General features: G+C 38.9%; 1 protein-coding gene across 12 annotated transcripts in view, besides 1 other annotated feature; it reads right to left on the bottom strand.

Annotated features, from left to right (window-relative positions):
* RAD51B (RAD51 paralog B) overlaps positions 1–20451 on the bottom strand; it is an 863318-nt gene that overhangs the window by 495395 nt on the left and 347472 nt on the right. The window lies entirely within an intron of this gene.
* Positions 18359–19576: an enhancer, noted in NCBI's record as "VISTA enhancer hs1392". NCBI's record gives its function as "enhancer in: limb[4/9] | heart[8/9]" and the evidence as "EXISTENCE:transgenic organism evidence [ECO:0001131][PMID:17130149]".

Here is a 20451-nt window from a genome sequence, read left to right as displayed (position 1 = left end):
ACGCATTGAAAAAATTTGAAGGACTGTATACAAACATGCTAATATCAGTTAAGTCTAAGATTATGGGGAACTTTTTCCCTTCCTCCATAGTGTATCTCTGAAAGGTCTGAATTTTAAGGGTATGTATTACTTTTACAAACATAAAAGCATATGAAGGATAAATGTAATTTAAATGAGATCTCTTGATGGTGGCCCATAATCACAAAGGTTGTGGGAAGTTGGATAAGTAAAATAAGCACTTCCATGTGGGTGTCACCACTAACAAGCAGGTTTCCCACATTTCTATGTGGTCAGCATAACATCCCAAAGGGATAGTTCTTTTTTTTTTCTTTTTCAACTTTTATTTTAGATTCAGGGGATACATGTGCAAGTTTGTTACCTGGATATATAGTGTGATGCTGAGGTTTGCGGTATGAATGATCCCCTTATTTAGGTACTGAGAACAGCACTCAACAGTTAGTTTTTCAACCCTTCTCCCCAATTCCTCCCTCCCTTCTCTAGTAGTTCCCAGTGTTGACTGTTGCCATCTTTATGTTCTTGAGTACTTAATGTTTAGCTTCCACTTATAAGTGAGAATGTGCGGTATTTGGTTTCGTGTTCCTGCCTTAATTCACTTAGGATAATGGCCTCCAGCTGCATCCATGTTGCTGCAAAGGACATGACTTCATTCTTTTTATGGCTGCATAGTATTCCATGGTCTATATGTACCATATTTTCTTTATCAGATGGGCACCTAGGCTGATTCCATGTCTTTGCTATCGTGAATAGTGCTGCGATGAACATGTGAGTATATGTATGTGTCTTTTTCGTAGAAAAATTTGTTTTCTATTGGATATATACCCAGTAATGGAATTGCTGGGTCAAATGATAATTCTGTTTTAGGTTCTTTGAGAAATCTCCAAACTGCTTTCCACAGTGGCTGAAATAATTTACATTCCCACCAACAGTGTACATGCATTCCTTTTCTCTGCAGTCTTGCCAACATGTTGTTTTTTGGCTTTTTAATAGCAGCCATTCTGACTGGTGTAAGATGGTATCTCATTGTGGTTTTGATTTGCATTTCTCTGATGATTAGTGATAATAAGTATTTTTTCATATGTTTGTTGGTTGCTTGTATGTCTTCTTTTGAGAAGTGTCTTCTCATGTCTTTTGCCCATCTTTTAATAGTGTTATTTGGGTTTTGCTGTTCAACTGTTCAATAAGTTCCTAACAGAATTTGGATATTACACCTTTGTCAGATGCATAGTTTGTGAATATTTTCTCCCTATCTGTAGGTTGTCTGTTTACTCTGTTGATAGTTTCTTTTGCTGTGCAGAAGCTTTTTAGTTTAATTAGGTCCCATCTGTCAATTTTTGTTTTTGTTCCAATTGCTTTGAGGACTTAGTCATAAATTCTTTACCAAAGCCCATGTACAAAATGGTATTTCCTAGGTTTTCTTCTAGGATTCTTATATTTCAAGGTCTTACATTTAAATCTTTAATCCATCTTGAGTCAATTTTTGCATATGGTGAAAGGTAGGGGTCTGGTTTCATTCTTCTGCATATGGCTAGCCAACAACCCCAGCAGTATTTATTGACCAGTGAGTCCTTTCCCCATTGCTTATTTTTGTCAGCTTTGTTGAAGATTAGACATCTGTAGGTGTGTGGCTTTATTTCAGGGTTCTCTATTCTGTTCCACTGGTTAATGTGTTTGCTTCTGTACCAGTACCATGCTGTTTTGCTTACTGCAGCCTTATACTATAGTTTCCAGTTGGGTAATGTGATGCCTCAAAGGGAGAGTTTTTAGATTTGTGCAGGGGTACCCCCAGGCCATGGACCAACACTGGTCTGTGGCCTGTTAGGAACTGGGCCACACAACAGGAGGTGAACTTCACCTCCTGTCAGATCAGTGGCAGAGTTAGATTCTCTTAGGAACACGAATCCTATTGTGAACTGCACATTTGAGGGATCTAGGTTGTGTGCTCTTTATGAGAATTTAATGCCTGATGATCTGAAGTGGAACAGTTTCATCCTGAAACCACCACCCCCGCCCCCATCCACGGAAAAATTGTCTTCCACAAAACTGGTCCCTGGTGTCAAAAAAAGGTTGGGGACCATAGGCAAGCCTCGTCTGCCTGAATTCTATTCTTTCTCCCTAATCTACTCAAGAACATGATATAATTCCTTGCCATGATCATGTTTTTCCTGTAGCCTTTAAAATAATTATTTTAATGCTGATAAATTTGCTATCAGTCTGTAGTAGCAGCAAATAATCTTTAGTTATTGTCTTTGCGACAAATAGATATGCATTTTGGATCTATGGAATTCCTTCCTCTTGCAGGAATAGCAAACTGAAATGATGAATTCAAGAGATTCAAGAATTTGCATGCCACTCCACTTGCCCTATACAGAAACTGAATTTCTTTAAGGCTAAATCTAACATGTTGGCAATACTTTATTATGTAGTTATTATTTATTTTTCAATGCGCAGTCTTACATTGTTTCATCTGATTTTCATAGAAACCCTATGAGGTAGTGGGGCTGAAAATCATCCCTATCCTTTTATTTTTCATGATTTTACATTTTAAGACATTTTGGCTGGTGGGGGTGAAGTAGTAAATACAAAAGGAGTACACTCCCAGTGCATAAAATTTGGAAATAAAAACAGAACCAAACCAAACAAAGAATCACTCCTAGTCCCACTGCTAGATACAACATTATAACCACTTAGGTTTCCAATATTTTTCAGTTATTCTTTGTATTTAAGCCTGTTTAAAGATGAGAAAATTTTCACATGTGTAATGAGAGTCAAAGCTAGGACTAAAACTCATGAACACTTTCCCTCATACTAGGAAGCCTCTTCCTTCTTATTAATCTGTCTCTCTTTCAAAATGCTCAAGCATTAGAAAGAATAAATCTTCAGAAACACAGATTTGGGGATTGTTCATATTTTGTTTCCATTTACAGGTAAACTTACCAATGGTCTTTGGAGAGAAGCACCTGCAGCATAAAAATTGTTGTCAAGCACAATGATTTTTAAGATTCTTTTTAACTCTGAAACAATTGTTCTCCTTCTTCTTCTTCCTGTTTTTTTTTTTGGTTTTTTTTTTTTTTTAGACAGGGCCTTGCTCTATCACCCTGGCTGGCTGGAGTGGTGCAGTAGCAAACTCACTCTAAGCAGTAAGGCACAGTGGCTCACGCCTGTAATCCCAGCACTTTGGGAAGATGAGGCAGGTGGATTGTTTGAGTTTAGGAGTTTAAGACCAGCCTGGGTAACATGGCGAAACCCTGTCTCTACAAAAGAAAAAAGAATACAAAATATTAGCCAGGCATGGTGGTATGCACCTGTAGTCCCAGCTACTCAGGAGGCTGAGATGGAAGGATTGCTTGAGCCCAGGAGGCAGAGGTTGTAGTGAGCTGTGATTGCACCACTGCACTCCAGCCTGGATGAGACAGTGAGATCCTGTCTCAAAAAATAACTTTTTTTAAAAAATCTCACTATAACCTTGCACTCTTGGGTTCAAGTGATCCTCCCACATCAGCCTCCCAAGTAGCTGGGAGCATGCCACTGGGACATCCAAGTACAGGTGCATGCCACCATACCCGGGTAATTTTTTTTTTTTTTTTTTTTGAGATGGAGTCTCCCTCTGTCGCCCAGGCTGGAGTGCAGTGGCGTGATCTCCGCTCACTGCAAGCTCTGTCTCCCAGGTTCATGCCATTCTCCTGCCTCACCCCCCCCGAGTAGCTGGGACTACAGGTGCCCGCCACCACGCCCGCCTAATTTTTTGTATTTTAATAGAGACGGGGTTTCACCATGTTAGCCAGGATGGTCTCAATCTCCTGACCTCGTGATCAGCTTGCCTCGGCCTCCCAAAGTGCTGGGATTACAGGCGTGAGCCACTACGCCCGGCCTTACCCAGGTAATTTAAAAAATTTTTTGTAGCGATGGGGTCTCACTATATTGCGCAGGCTGGTCTCAAACTCCTGAGCTCAAGCAATCCTCCCACCTTGGGCTTTCAACGTGCTGGGATTACAGGTGTGAACCATCGTGCCTAGCCCAACTCTGAAACAATTCTAATCTTCTCTGAATGGAACTGCGGCTAGAGGTCAAGAATCAGGATCAATAGGATAACAGATGTGTGACGGTTATAATACTGAGTGTCAACCTGATTGGACTGAAGGATGCAAAGTATTATTCCTGGGTGTGTCTGTGAGGGTGTTGCCAAAAAGTTAAACATTTGAGTCAGTGGACTTGGAGAAGCAGACCCACCCTCAATCTTGGTGGGCACCATCTAATCAGCTGCCAGTGTGGCTAGAAAGAAGCAGGCAGAAGTTGGACTTGACTTGCTGAGTCTTCATCTTTCTCCTGTGCTGGATGCTTCCTGCGCTTGAACATCAGACTCCAAATTCCTTAGCTTTTAGACTCTTGACTTACACCAGTGATTTGCCAGGGGCTCTTGGGCCTTTGGACACAGACTGAAAGCTGCACTGTTGGTTTCCCTACTTTTGAGGTCTTGGGACTTGGACTGGCTTCCTTGCTCCTCAGCTTGCAGAGAGCCTATTGTGGGACCTCACCTTGTGATCGTGTGAGTCAATACTACTTAATAAATTTCCCTTCATATATTCATCTATCCTGTTAGTTCTACCCCTCTAGAGAACCCTAACACAAGATGAGAACAAATTAAGTCAGTCAAAATCCCCCAAATAAGAAGTTAACCAAACTAAAATCAAAATCATAAACCAACATCATAAGTTGGAACAAGTGTCAACCAAGGAAAGAAAAGGAATACAGGTCCAGTAATCAACCTGAAGTTATACATCTAAAAAGTGGTGTGGCCAGATTAAGCCCCTAATCTAGGTGGCTCAAAGCTTATGTTCTTTTCCATGTCTTACCTCTCTAGGTGTAGTCACAGAGAGTCTATGCGCCTTAAATCGCTAAGAAACTAGGCATGTTTGCAAATGCCTTAACATTTTCCCCGGAAGGTGAAACCTAAAAAAGTGGTTAGCAAACGTATCTCAGAATTTGTTTCTGCAGTACATGTCTCTTTCAGTTTCTACAATGTGGTGAGGAAATTAAACATCTCTCTGGCTCTCCTTTACCACATGAACACCCATGTGTATGTGGATGCATGCACACACACACACACGTGTATGCATGTGCAAACACATACAATTTAACCATCTTCACTTCAGATGGTCTGACCTTCAAGTCAGGTTACCCATAATCAGAAACTGGAATATATAAAAAGGACATATGAAAAAGAATTTAAATTGAATTGAATATTAAAAGTTACAGAACTCACATATTCTCTGTTCAAGCAAATCCTGCTGCCCTTAACTGTGCAAACACATTTGTCTATAATATGTAAAATCATTACATTTGGAGATAAAGTTAAAACCAACATGTTGATCCAAACTAGTGGGAAACAAACTGAAATGCTTACAGCAGTCAAAATTGGAAAAAGTAAATCACAGAGTTACTCAGTACACTGCATAGCTGTTAATTTAGCTTTGGAAAACTCTCTCTTAAAGGAGAACTTCTAAATTGAAGCACAAGATGGCTTGAATAGAGGCAGTGGTTTGTAAGGGAGGAGGAGATTCCACAGAGTACTGAGACCACACATTAGACACCAAGGCTTCTCAAGCACCTCTTCACCTAACCCACTGTATTCTCATGGCAAAACACCTCATGATGCTCTAGGGCATGGAAACCATAATCTATATAATGCATACATCATTATATTCTTTAGGTGGCAATGGATCTAAATGAAAAATATACATAAATGTACTGTCTTAAAGCCAGTTGAAATTATTAGGCATATAAGATTGGAAAACAGGATGCCTGACTTTTACTCAGAGTTTTTCCAGTGACTCACCGTGTAATTCTGAGGACATAACCCTTTGATCCTTAGCCTACAACCCAGAGAATTTTAAATTGTGCTCCTCCAAACCCCCACCTTTGGAGGCACCCTCTCCAGCTTCTTTTGCCCTCAGATGAAAGGATCTGTAGACATGGAAAATGGTTGTTTGGTGATTTCCCGTAACTTCCTTTCTAGTATTTCAGTCATTCTCCTTTTACATCTGAGGGACACTGCAGAGAAATCACTGCTTTGCATAATCAAAGCCACAGGCTTAAAATTTCACTACTGGAGGGGGCAGGCTGAGAAGGAACAAGTCCGGCTTTAACACCACAAATATCTCCAATTACCAAATGTGGGCAGAAAAATGACAAAAAATCAAGGACAGATAGAAAGGTCCTTGGTATTCTTCAAAGCTTCCCTTTGGGATGAAAGTTCCTTGAGGCTTCCAAGGCAGAAAGCCTGGGCAGTCTGCACACCTGGGGTGCATTAGTGAGCCCTGGACTCGAGGTGAAACAGGCTGAATTTCATCTAGATGCTTCCCACAATCCGCTCTCATAAAACTCAGAGTAATTTACCAGCTTAGGAACATGGCAAGGTATTCATGGAGCACTAAATCTGGGGATTACCTTCCAGAGTCACTGGATAAATCCCACTGCTCATCTTTGTAAATACACCTTCATCTTGATTACCTTTATCTCAAGGGGAGTTTCATTTTGTTTGCTGTGGCACACGGTCAAGACTAAAACCCACCTTCAAATCAAATCATTCTCACACCTCTCCTGAGAAGTCTTTCAAAGAGCATCCAAACATTGATGTAACTAATGGGTGAGTTTTAGCATTAGGCTATGTGCCCTTCTAAATACAAAACACCAATGCCTCTGCTGTTGCTTCCCTTCCCTCACCTGCTATGTGGAGGTGATGATAACTTGTCTTGCCAGTTCCCCCAATCTGTATGAAAAGGAAGTCTCACTGTAGTTACCTGGCAGGCTCTAACCTTGCCACAGCAGCCAGTATGGTTGTTCCTGCCCAGAAAAGCCCTTGGTCTCACATTTCCCTAACTCTGTCCTGTACATCTTGAAGTATAACTCAGCACAGAGCTCACCCAGTCACCCTAATCAGTGCATTCTATACATCTGCTCGCCGTCTTTCTCCATTCCCAGCTACTTAGAGAAGCAGATCATAAGGCAGTAGTTTTGCATTCTGGCTCTGCAATTTGCTACCTGTGAGACCTTGGCAAAGTTACTTAGCCTCTTTTTGCCTGGGTTTCCATATTTGTAAAGTGGCGATAATGACGACAGCTGCTCATAAAGTTGTAAGTATTAAATATATAACCTTATCGTGCCTGAAATGTAGTAAAGCACTCAACAGCATGACGATAATCATGATGATACTTTTTCATTATCAAAGTCAACTACTTTTCTTAAAAAGAGTACTCCTCTACCCCGGCCCTCTCTAACATTTACAATCCCCTCATCTAACAGTGGGCAGAGTGGCCTCCTACTCCCAAACCACAACTAGCTAGAACAAACTGAGCCATTAGTAAGCAGGCTGTAGGATAAACACGTTTGGGCAAAATAATAGATGAAGGCAAAGTAAAGATGAATGTTAGCGCTCCCCAAACCATCTGTGCTCCATCAAACTAGACATTCTAAACACGTAGGCTATGGTTCAGAATCCATTCAAAGTTGGGGTATTTTAAGGTGACAGGTGGCAAAACTTTAACCATTAGGGTGACTTATGGAACTAGGCAATGCTGTAGCCTATACATGTTATTCAGGACTGAGGAATTGTCGGTGCCATAGGCCAAGCTCTAGTCTCAGAATGCAAGGGGGGAATAAAGGGTGGAATACAGGGCACCCTCTCCCCCCATACACAAATATACATTCTACCATCTGTTTCTACCATCTGTGCAAGACCCAACTGTCTTGAAGTCAGACCTCAACTGGCTGGTGTCCTAGTGTTTGGGACTCCTTATAAGCCATTCACATCTCCCATGTGATGTAAGGCATACCACTCCTATGGTGTGATGCCCTGAAAGATGTAACATCTGTTTACCCATGTCATAGCCTAGCATTCTAATGCATGCTTTCTATGGTAGTCTTACTCCTAAAAGTTACAATAACAACATAGAAGAGCATTTTTCAACTTGTATCCCTCTCTGTATTATGTTATTACTAGAGATGTTCTTTGAAAAAAATTCCATATGACATATAAATATTATCAATTTCTATGTGTATTATGACATAAGAAAGGCTGTGAAGCACTGTTCTAGACTAAGATCAGAAAGAAACCTTCAATTCATAAGTTCCAAACATTTACGGAGTACCTACTAAGTACAAGTCATGTTACACTACATACTTTTAATATTCTGTATTTAGATTTTCTATCTGTAGCTCCGAAATAAAACAACAAATACATTTGTATCAGAGGAATGACCTCAGAGTAATAATAGCTACAAGTAGTTTGCGAACTTTTTAGGTAAAAAATAAAAGGTAAATTTAAATACGTATTTTTAATTTGCTGCATAAAATGTGTTTTATCCCAATCAGATTCTTGCCAAGAAAGAAAAAAAGAAAAGACAACAGAGCCTCATCCTGAAAAGAAAAAGCCTGAAAACCTAGGGATACATGAGAAACATCTGCCGCATACTAGCGCAGCAAGGAAACCACTCACCAATAAACAGTAATTTAACTGTAAAAGGAATGCTTCACACATAATGAAAGCAGTTCCTTTATCTTCAAAGGAAAACTATTAATGAAGGAAGAAAGGGTTTTAGAGTACTCTGCAGGAAGGTGGCATTGCTCTTACCTGCCTCTATATCAAAATGCCAATATAGAAACACACTCCCACAATCATTTTATAACACTTGGCATCCATTGTGACCAGAGCAGAAATTTTATCTACACTTCAAAGTGTTTCCTATTTCAGACTCTTCAAGATAACCAAAAAAGGATTCTGTCTTCAGTATGCCTGAAAAAGTAGGGAAAGATGATTTTTTGTTTTTCAGGTTTTTTACAACATCTGTTTACGCATGTCACAGCCAAACAACATCAGTTGCTAGCCACACAAAACAGGGGCAATGAAATGAATGTGTCAAACTGTGGGAGAATTCTAATGGTGCTTTACTGAGAACTCCCTTCTCTCTTGCACCCACATTCTGCCAATTTCCAATATGCCAGCTATTGGACAGCACTGGGGAGAAGTTATAACCCTCCAGAAACAGCCTAAAAATTCCTTTGTGGACTTAAAGGGATAAGAGAAAATTGAAAGGCCTGGGCTTCAAACTTTTAACAAAGAAGGATTTGAGAAGGAATGTGATTCAACAGGATACGCATAGCCCAATTACTTAGATGACTTATGATCGAAGTCTTAAACCAGTTGCCAATGTCAACTCCTCATGTGGTTACTGTCAAGTAGGGAACCCTGTTTCTTTATGCATGAGACTGAAGAGTAGAGACATGGGGGAAGGATGACAGAAAAAAAGAAAGTATGCATAACACACTGTAAAGTGGGAAGTGATACATAACTAAACAAATGATAAAATCATATCAAACAATATTAAGTCTTTTTCCTATAGCTTCAGAAAGAATATTTCAACTAATTGGGTCACTGGAAAACAATAATTTTATATAGCATTCTGATAAATAGGTCCACAGGCTAAACAATTTTTTTTTAAAGTTACTTATCAATGTATTCAAGCTGTGTGTTTGATCCGCAAAGAGATAGGGTTTCAGTTTATACTTGCTGTTTGTTGAAGCAGCCTCAGGCAGGAAAGGGATATGAAAAAAGAAGACAACCCTGATTACTGCAAAATGAAGAGGGCAGCATGGTCACCAGCTCAACGTTAGAAAAAGGGCATTATAAAAGCAGTGCTGAGAGACCAGGTATTCTGCCTACTTGGATGAGCTGCCACCTTTGAAGCAATGCCAAGGTCATGTGCATTGAGCTGTTAAAGATATCTGAGTAGGAAAATGTCTTCAGGCAAGGTAACTTTCTTTAAAGTATGCTTAGCACCTGGTCATCTGGTCATCTCAACAGTGGCTCAATGATCAATAGACAAGAGAGCATAAAACGTTAGTCAAATGCCAGAAAGCTTGAACATCTCGGCTGGAGAGTTAAATTCTTCTGACTTTTGGAAGGCTTTCTCAAATTTATTTATATCTGTTTCCAGGAGCTTAGGCTAATTTAAAAAAAAAAAACTTAATTGCTTCTTATTTTCATTTTTCCCTTTCTCTCATTCCCCACTGGCCCCCTCCATCGCCCTCACCAATTTAGAGTTGCTTTTATATATTTTCTCCTCATAAGTGGACTTAAGCTCCAGCCTAGTGAGAGAAAAGATAAGCACATGTGATCGCATGTTTTTAAGGAAACATCCACTAAGGATATCTAGTTAAACTTGAAACATGAATTTTGGTAGATGGAAATCAGTAAAGCATGTATAATTAGATCACTCTGGTACTGGCCAGCAACAAAGATCATTCTAAAAATGGAGAACAAAACACCTAGGTGCCTACCTGTGTAAACATACACACATGCATGCACACCCAAGTGCATGCACACACATGTGCTTGAGCAGTCATAGGCTTATACTGTTGGGCTGAGTGCCTTTCTGGCACCCAGAAAAAGATGGTGCTTTTAAAAGTTTTAGAGGAAAACATCACTAAGTGTTTGTGTACAGAATTATGTGCTGTTTGCCATTGGAAGTCAATGTGGCATTGTACACTCAGTGTCAGTCTTGAATCTGGAAGAAAAACTTTTCTCAGAAACAAGTCTTAGTCCAACATTACCTTTCTTGGCCCATTCTGGCAGTTACACTCTAGAGAAAAGGACTCCTTTGCTCATTTTGTGACATGCCTCAATTGTGGATGGCAAATTTGATGACAATATTATGAACAGAGTGATTTAGAGCAGATCTCTAGTAAAAAACAGAACTCCATCTTGGCATAGTGCAGTTGATTAATATGCCCCAGGCCCATGAAATACATACTCTTGCTGCTAACTGAAACAATCCAGAAGCCTTCTGTGTAAGATACCTGGGTGATATTGTTCCATAATCGTATCCTCTTTTGGCACTGCTATAACTATTTATTTCAAGGTTGGTTACCTTTAATTTCTAGAACCAGGGAATACATGATCCAAAGTTTACCCTTTTTTGTGTTCAAAATGACCTGCTCAGAAGTCTTCAATATAAAATATTAATGCTGTAGATTAATGCAATGTTCATCAACTCTGGAGACCAAAGGGCTTTTACAGAGGCTATTGTTTTAGTTTTTAATGCTCATTCTATCCCTGAGTGACAGACATCATGATCCTCATTTCCTCATAGAGAAATCATCTAATGATGATTGAGTTGCCTGAGGTGAAGTCGCTGGTAAAGCTGAGAGTAAACTCTAAATTTTCTGATCCACTATTTCAGCACTAGAATGTATTATCTTATTTTGAGAAATGACTAAGGATTTAAGAGCTAAGTCTTTGAGAACAGCATACTGATTAAGAGTACAGGTTTTGGAATTAGTTGGACCTGGGTTTGAATCCCAGTTCTACTATTTACTATTGTGAATCTTGGATAAGTTTCTTAACCTCTCTGTGCCTCACTTGCCACCCATCCATACAAAGCCCCAGAAAAATAGATACGTGTTACTTGGTATGTTTTCCAAGATGCATGCCTAAGAGATAAAATCTGCCTCCTCATCATCTCCTAGGGATATTTAAGGATTAGCTAGATTGGTGAGTTGGCACATACTCTGAGACTCCAACTAACGAACACAGCATCCAAATGGAGTCCAGGCTCAGCAGGAGGATCCTGCCTATTATAGCACATGTCTGGCCATTTATTTATGAGTGCAGCAAGCAGGTTTCTATCACTTACTGTGATGGAAGAGAAAAAGAAGGAAAGAGAGGCAACATCTTGATGAAAGATATTGCAAATTTGAATGCAACTATTCTAGGAAGTGCATATATAGTAGAGAAATCATTAAGCCATTGGCTTGGAACTGTCAGACTTTACTGATGAGGAAATGGAGGCTGAGAGAGGTTCACTTGATGGAATTCATGTAATAAAAGGCGGTAGAGTGATTTGAACCCAAGTCAGACTGAGCCACACATTTTCTACCAGTACTCTGTACTTACTAGGAGATGGTGATCTCATGTATAAATGTTAACTGACAACTTATCTCAGACACCTGTAAGTTAAACGGACACCATAATTCAACTTGAATTTGGCTGGGGAACCATAAAAGAACCCAAGACCAGTGAGACATGGGCACACTTAGTATCATGCCCCAGCACTCATTTAGAAAGAAATGAATCACAGAATATGTCAGCCATAGCTCATTTAATACAACCAAAAATAGGTATTTCGTAGCTATTTTCCACCTAAAGACTATCCCCAGCCAGCTATGCTTGTGAGGTAGCACATCCCAAACACGGGTGGGAGAACCATGGACAAGTGCACCTAGCCATCTTTATAAACCTGCCTACAATGAATAAAATGGAAATGGTCAGTATGAAGCATTCAGTACTTAAATTGCTCTGCTTAACTGATGAAACTCAAATACTGTTCCTCTTCAGTATGCTTTATTTCTTTTATAAACATACCAACTTTCTTTAAGGCCAGTAAATGCACCATGATTTCTTTTTTCCTTCTTCATGCCAGCAAAAGCATGGAAAATGGAGTTTGAAGTTGTAAGTCTCAGATGGAAAGATAGAAATGCAAAAGCCATGGGGAAGAATGTGGTACGTCAGTATTATAAAAAGATCATCAATGGAATCAATCTGTTGCTTTATGTCATTGATAGTTTGATCTTTCTGGGAAATGCTGATTCCCCAGGATTCAAAGTATGGCTGGAGAAAGGTAGAGAACATTCTGTTCCTTTCTCATGGGCAAATATTATTAATATTTACACTAACTTAATATCATTATTTGCAAGGAGGATAAAGCTAAAAACTTAGATGTGGATTGTGCCACTGAGCTCACCATTAATAGAATTAAATTTTCTTATGTAATGCAGTTCAGTCCTTGAAAAGAGGATTAATCAACATGAGGCTTCCATTAATTCATTCAATTAATTCCAAGTTTAAATAGGTAGGTCAGAATAGGTTTGCAGACCCGTTGAGAAGATAACATTTCAGCAAAGGCTTGAAGTGAGTAAGGGAGTTAGTCATGTGTATATTAGAAGCAGAGAATTTTAGTCATTAACGTTGATCCAATCCAGTGCCCCCTCATCTTGGCCCCATTGGATGGTCTTATCCACATGCTGTTGGCTTTCCTCCAGCATTGTTCAGTATTTCCAATGTATCCTATCCTACAGTCATATACTTTTTAAACAGCAATCATTGAAAGGCTCAAGGTACTATATCTAAGTTGCTCTTCTCTTAGCCTGGAGACACTGAGATCTGTCAAGGTTATGCCTTTGTCTTAGTCAAAATGATGTTGTTCTCTTTCCTATGGTTCTTATAACCACTTTTTTTTTCTTTTTTTTTTGGAGACAGGGTCTCACTTTTTTTGCCCAAGCTAGAGTGCAGTGATACAATCATAGCTCCACTACACCCTGGAACTCCTGGGCTCCAGGGATCCTCCCACCTGAGTAGCTGGCACTATAGGCTTAAACCACCACAGCCTGCCTTAGCACCATCCTTATTCCCTTGACTATCCTGTACTCTAAATAATCTACCAGAAAGTGGAACTTCCTAGCACCTCCACTAGAGTCTGAACATGCAGAGTAAGAACTACTACATGGAGAGTAAGAAAAGATAACAAAATGTATAAGAGTCATTAAGAAGATAAGAGAGGAAGAAGGAATTAATAGGCAAATGCTAATCACCTATACAGTTGATGGTACACTGGAAACATCACAATGAAATAATCTAAGACTTGGGCTACTCAGTGCCATAATTACAAAGATGCCCTGCAGAGTAAGTTTCTAGTGGTTAAGATTTCAGTGGCTAGAAGTATCCCTTTCATGGACCAATATGTGGCCACAGATGTTAATATAATGACCTACATAGGAGTAGTTTGTATATTTTACTGATCTTAAGACTTTTACTCATCTTAAGACTGTTTCAAAGCTATGCATTCTTCCTTGAGTAAACATTTATCTGTGCAGTTGAATGGTTCCAGCCCAAGGAAAGAAGCCAGGAACATGGGTACTCCCTAATAGTCTGCTGCTGCTTCAATATGACAACAAGGGAGTCATTTCTCCTCTAAGTTCTCTCTACTGAGGAACTGAGACAGTCTATGAACCAGGACCAAGACCTTTCCACAAAATTACTCATATTGCATGTGATTCTTATCCCACAGAAGGTGCCAAGACCCAGGAATCCAAATCAATGAATAGTCACTCGTTCTTGTCACCTCTCAGATCCTGAGTAGGACTTCTCATTCAAAATCTACAGCCCAAAAGTTAATTCCCCACTTAGGTCTCACTGTACTTACTGGCTGCTGTCTTGGATAATAAAATCTTGGATTCTAAGGCCAGAGTGTTCCCACAGGCAGTATAGAAAGATGGCAATCAGCTCTTTGCAAAGAATATAAAGAATATTTTTCTATCTTGAAGTCTGACCTTATGTGGAAAAAGATCAAAGACCAAAATGTATTAACTACAAATGGCTCTAGCCAGCCCTACTTGGCTTTATATTATAAATAAGAAACAAAACAATACCTCCATGAGTTAAACACTGAGCTAAGTATACATGAGTGTACACTTATTTGAATTTGCCACTGACTTGCTGCAGAACTTTTGGCAAGTAAAACTTCTCTGAGTTCTACTTCTTCACCTGTAAAATTTAAAAATGATACTTTACAAACTAGGTTTTCACAAGCAATAAACTTTAAAATGCCTTGAAAAAATGCAAATGCCTGGAGCTGTATAATTAGCCACATCATCTTCAGACTAAAACAAAGGCCTAACTCCCTGTAATCCAGGTGTCCCTACACTCAATAATAAGAGACCTTGGAGATTTGGCTCAGAAATGAGTACACAGACTACAATACAGGAAGGGCAAACTACTGGGAAGGGAGGCCAATACTAGTTAATCATTCACAGGATTAAGTGTCTTATTTCTCTTTCATAACATAGGCTTGACTAGCTAGAAAGTTACCCAGCCAAGCACAAAAAGCCATCAGTGGTTAAAAGAAAATAATTGAATGAGAAAGGAACCATGGTTCGGGTCACATCATTTTAATTCTCTTAAGCTCTTTCTTTAAGGGCTTTTTTTTTCCACTTGAAGTTTGGGAAATATCAGTCAATCTAAATATATAGAAATTCAATTATTCTCCTTGCCTATATAACCTCTTAAATATTGTATAAATGAGCTCCCACAAGCTTATGGAATTTTATGGAGGAGTTTGGCAAGAGTTCACAATCCTGTTCTTAGCTACTTGCAAACGGTTATGTGACTTAGGAAAGCCTCTTAATCTAGCTAACCTTCTTATTCTCCAAATTAGAAAATAGAAATTATGAATTGGGCCCTGGCTAATGAAGGGACAAACCTGTCGGTATCTGGCTCTGTTTACATTTTGCAATGTGGTCAGAGGTTAAGTCAGTAAGGACGGGACAAATACACATGTAATAGATTAAGAATGTAATGACAGAAAATCATACAGGATCTACAACCTCCTAACTACTGACAAAGGATTTCTCTACCTTTTCAAAATGAGAACTAGGCGATTTAAGGGAGGAGGGAAGGTAAAAAGTGACACTGAGGGAGGTACAGTTGAACTGAAGACCTAACAGAATTTACTAGAAAGGAATGTATTAAAATTGACTGGTGGATATGCACATTTAAACATGGCTATGATACAGAGGTGTTGAAATATTTAGTATTTTCATCAGCCTAAAATAAGAATGAGAAATATGGCTGGGTGTGGTGGCTCACACCTGTAATCCCAGCACTTTGGGAGGCTGAGGTGGGTGGATCACTTGAGGTCAGGAGTTCGAAACCAGGCTGGCCAACATGGTGAAACCTTGTATCTACTAAAAATACAAAAATTAGCAGGGCTTGGTGGTGGGCATCTGCAATCCCAGTTACTTGGGAGGCTGAGGCAGGAGAATCTCTTGAACCCCGGAGGCAGAGGTTAAAGTGAACCGAGATCGCCCCATTGCACTCCAGCCTGGGCGACAGAGCGAGACTCCGTCACACACACAAAAAAAGAATGAGAAATATGACAAACAAGATGAAAGGTAATCACTGCCTACAAAACACTGCATTTAATATTTTCTTTAGAAACTAATAAAATTACAATTCCTAGTAAAAGACACTGTAGGCTGGGTGCGGTTCTTATGCCTGTAATCCCAGCACTTTGGGAGGCCGAGGTGGGTGGATCACCTGAGGTCAGGAGTTTGAGACGAGCCGGGCCAACATGGTGAAACACTGTCTCTACTAAAAATACAAAAAATTAGCTGGGTGTGGTGGTGGGCGCCTGTAATCCCAGCTACTTGGGAGGCTGAGGCAGGAGAATCACTTGAACCCGGGAGGCAGAGGTTGCAGTGAGCTGAGATTGCTGCCATTGCACTCCAGACTGGGCAACAGGAGTGAAACTCCATCTCAAAACAAAAACAAACAAACAAAAAAAAATAGGACGCTGTAGTCTTGAATCCTTTTCTCCAAATAAGATTCTGCTACAGAAATGGCTTATTTCTTTTTTGTTCTGTCAGGCTCTAAAGTTACAAATATGAGACAATGATGACAGATCAAGTAAGTCAGAAATTCTTCAAGAAAAAGAGAACCTCTTCTATAAATACATGACTCGATCAGGCTGAGAACCTGTCTACCCGTTTACACAGAAAATCAAGACTTTGGCCACTTGATGGGTTATGGAGGAGGAGCCTGAAACCCCTGGCCAGCAGGGCCTTCCCTTTCAGGGACTCCTGGTAAAAACTTACTTTTTTCTACCCAAAGGCCAAAACCAAGACAGGAACATTTTACTTCTGGAAACCCTGGTCTAAAACTCAGTGAAGTTATCATTCCCAATACATTTTTTTCATCAACATTTTATGTTCAGAAATGAGAATAAAAAGTTGTATAGCCTTTCCAAAAGGCAACTTGCTAATTATAATCATGAAAAAATAGATTCAGCCTAAATGTCCAACATCTAGAATGGTTATAGAATTCATATTACAGTTGTGAAATAAACAATTCTGCTGCCATTAAAATTCCTTTGACAAAAAAGTTTTTAATAGGATGAGATGATAAAATAAGTAAAAAATACTATATAAAAACCATAAAATATAAGCTAAACTATGTAAAAATTTTAAATGTGTATAAAATAAGACTAGTAAGAAATATGACAAAATGTTAACAGTAGTCATTTCAGGGTGTGGTTTTAGAACACTAATTTTTTAAATGATAGCTTTCTTAAATAAGGAAAATAGAGTACTTTTATTATTGGAAAAAGAATTAGTAATAAAAAGGATATCCTCTGATTTTAATTCTCCTGTGTGCCAGTACTTCCCCTGCCCAATCTTTCATTCTCTCCTAAACCTGAGCCAGACATTTTGTAGTTAATTAACTAAAATGTTTTTAATGAGTGCTTACTATGAAATGGACCCTGTACTAGGCAAATTAAAGGATATGAAAGAAATAGGAAATGAGGCCTTTGCTTTCAAGGAAAGGATGCTGCTAAACTCTAGAGAGAATGCTTGGGAGGGAAAACCACCAACATTTTCCTAGGAAATAAAGAAATATAGCAAATTCAAGTAGAGTAGGTTCCCTCCTACACTGGAGAGTGAATCACTCCATCTTTCAATTTAAAACCAAAGAGTTCTCTTATTCCCTAATGGAGAAGTCAGAAAACTGGACTTCACAATCATTACAACCCTCAGTAAGAAAGGCATCTTCCTAATGAAGAACTAAAGGCTGAGAGAGTTTCAATGGTTCTTTCCACCACAGCTAAGAGTCCATAGAACAGTATTCTTTGCTATTTTTTGTGATCACATACACAAAACATATAAACAAGACTTGTTTAATTTAGAAAAGTCTTTGCTGTAAGTGCAGTGCAAACAAGCAGAGAAATGACACTACTGTAAGGTGAACAAAGAGGTCATCTAGAACCTCTGCTATATATATTAGAACCTCTAATTCAAAATACGCCCATCAGATCAACATATATCCATCAATTCAAATATACCCATCATGGCTACCTTGCAAGAACCCACCCTTCCATGAATGTGCATCACTAACTGCCTCTCAGACCATCTGGCCACAGGAAAATTCGAGCCAGCAGGACTCAGCAACATCTACACAGAGAGTTATGTGTGATACAAGATATCAGACTGGGGGAGGAGGTTAACTTTTCTAAATGTATATGTTATTTAAAATATATTTAAAAGTTCAAAGAATAATAAATGCCCATGTACTCAACTTACGATATAAAACATTAAGGGGTTATATGTTAAGGAACAGATGAATGGGAAAATCAAATTATGCAAAATTAGTGACCAATAATAGACTAAGAAGGTTATAATCATCAATAAGAAGACTAAGAGTAGATAAAAGGCTTTAGGAGCAGAAAATTTGAAATGGGCACTAAACGACAACAACAAATGAAAGCAGGCTGTATGAGGAGAATATAACCAGAATATGACTCTGGTCTGGGTACTCCCTTGCCCTTTTATACTGTATCCTCCTCTGAAACCATGCTTCTCCCAGGGTAGCAAATGAATCATCCATCTGTTAGAAAAATGAAGAAAGCCTCAGATTAAAAGAAAAAGAGACCAAAATTCATTGAGCTTACTATGCAAGCTGGAGTCTTCAGGGATCAGAAACTATATAAAGTGCTGTTATAGTGATTAGGAAAACAACAACAGCTAGAATAATCCCTCCTAAAAACTGAAATAGGAGAGAGCCAGGAATAAACTGCTCTGATGGAGGTGTATGCTTATGTCCTAGGACCTGGAATAAAAGAGGATTTTAAAGGGGAAGTCTGAAATGTACTCGCTGAACATGACCTGCCTTGCTAAGCCTGGTTCTTGTCATGGCTATTATGCCCTCAATTTCATGAACATCATGTTCACTTGGAAAGAAAAAAAAACAAAGCTGTTTTAGTAGTAATTGCACATCAATATGAGAGTCTTATTTCTATTAAGTTAATTAACCTATTTTTGAAAAGTATACAAAATAGGTCACTTAAGTGGGTGTGACCTTATCCAGTGAACTATGCTTTTAAACTGTCTCCAACTATTAAGATTTATAGACCTCTTTATCAACATCTTGGTTTGAAAAGGCTGGCTGAGTGAAAGGCATGCAACACCAGGCCAAAACAGCTTTGGTCCCTATCAATCAGCCTATTATTACTTAATGATATTTAGATGATATGATTAGATTTTCAAATTGAATGCTGTTTAATCTAAATTCCAGAGTGCTTGTGTAATCATGCTACATTTTAAGGTTCAGGCAAACAGTCTGAAGGAGAGAATTTATATCTAAGATCTATAAAAATAATGCTCCTCATAGATCGTTGGTAAACGAGAAAACTGCTTTACCATGGTATATGTATATGGGCAAAAACTGCTTCTAAATCATCACCACCATCACTATCAAAGACATAAAAGACGTTTGCAGAACTGAGCACCATGCTAGGCAGTGTACAAAAGTTTTGCTTTGTACTACTGTCCTGATTAAAAGGAGTAAAATTCTAGAGATCCATTTCTATTAAATTTCATACAATTCCATATATAAAGAGAAAATGTCCTTTAGAGCCTCTTCCTATCTGAGTATCTGTGGGTCCGTGACTATGTGGCCCACCCCAAGGAGTGATATTTGTGCTGTACCCAATAAAATCTAGTGTCAAAATTATGGGAGACACTTCCAAACTCTCACAGCTTAGCAAAACAGTGTCACTATCAGAGTAGTCCAAATCACGAAAAAGAATAGCGAGTTATTCTTCAAAGCAATTCACAGATCTGCCTAAGGGTGCAAATTATATTGTATATGCTTTAGAGATAAAGTTAAAGTATATACAATAAAATCCATCTCATAAGCTTGTTTTAAAAATTAAATAAGATAATGTTTATGGGAGGACTTTGTACCTATAAAGTGCTAAAGAGGGCAGGGAGTATAATAAGTAGAATATCAGAACTCTAATAAATGACTTTTCATGGGGAAATGTCAGACTGTCTATGAAATCTTTGGGTAGGTATAGTGGTTACAGGAGTATTCCTGTTGTCCCATCAATCATACCAATTAAGTAAAGACCTCGTCTACCCATCAAATCTTAATCTGAGTACTTTAAAAAGCCATTTCCATGCAACACTGAAAAGGGAGTAGAACTTGAGGAGGAAAATATGGTCATAGAATTTTACTCCACCCACTATCTAATCAATCTACCAAGTGCTACCTCTGTACCAACCACTGAGCTGGACGTTGAAAGGCAAAAATAAACAAGACATAATCTCTCATACAATAAAGCAGGAAGGGAAGGATATACACAAAATACGTGCTATAGGTTTTATAGGAACTATGTAAGAAGTATATACAGGGTATGATGGGATACAAGGAGGGAGTTACAAAAGACTTCACACTGGAATTAGGTTTTAAAATATAAAACAGTGTTGGCAATTAAAGAAGTGGGTGGAGAGAATGTAGAATGTCCAACAACATGGCATGTTTTGGAA

This window comes from Homo sapiens, chromosome 14, assembly GCF_000001405.40.
Source record: "Homo sapiens chromosome 14, GRCh38.p14 Primary Assembly".
Classification (NCBI taxonomy): Eukaryota; Metazoa; Chordata; class Mammalia; order Primates; family Hominidae; genus Homo; species Homo sapiens.
This window is presented reverse-complemented; position numbering and strand designations above follow the sequence as displayed.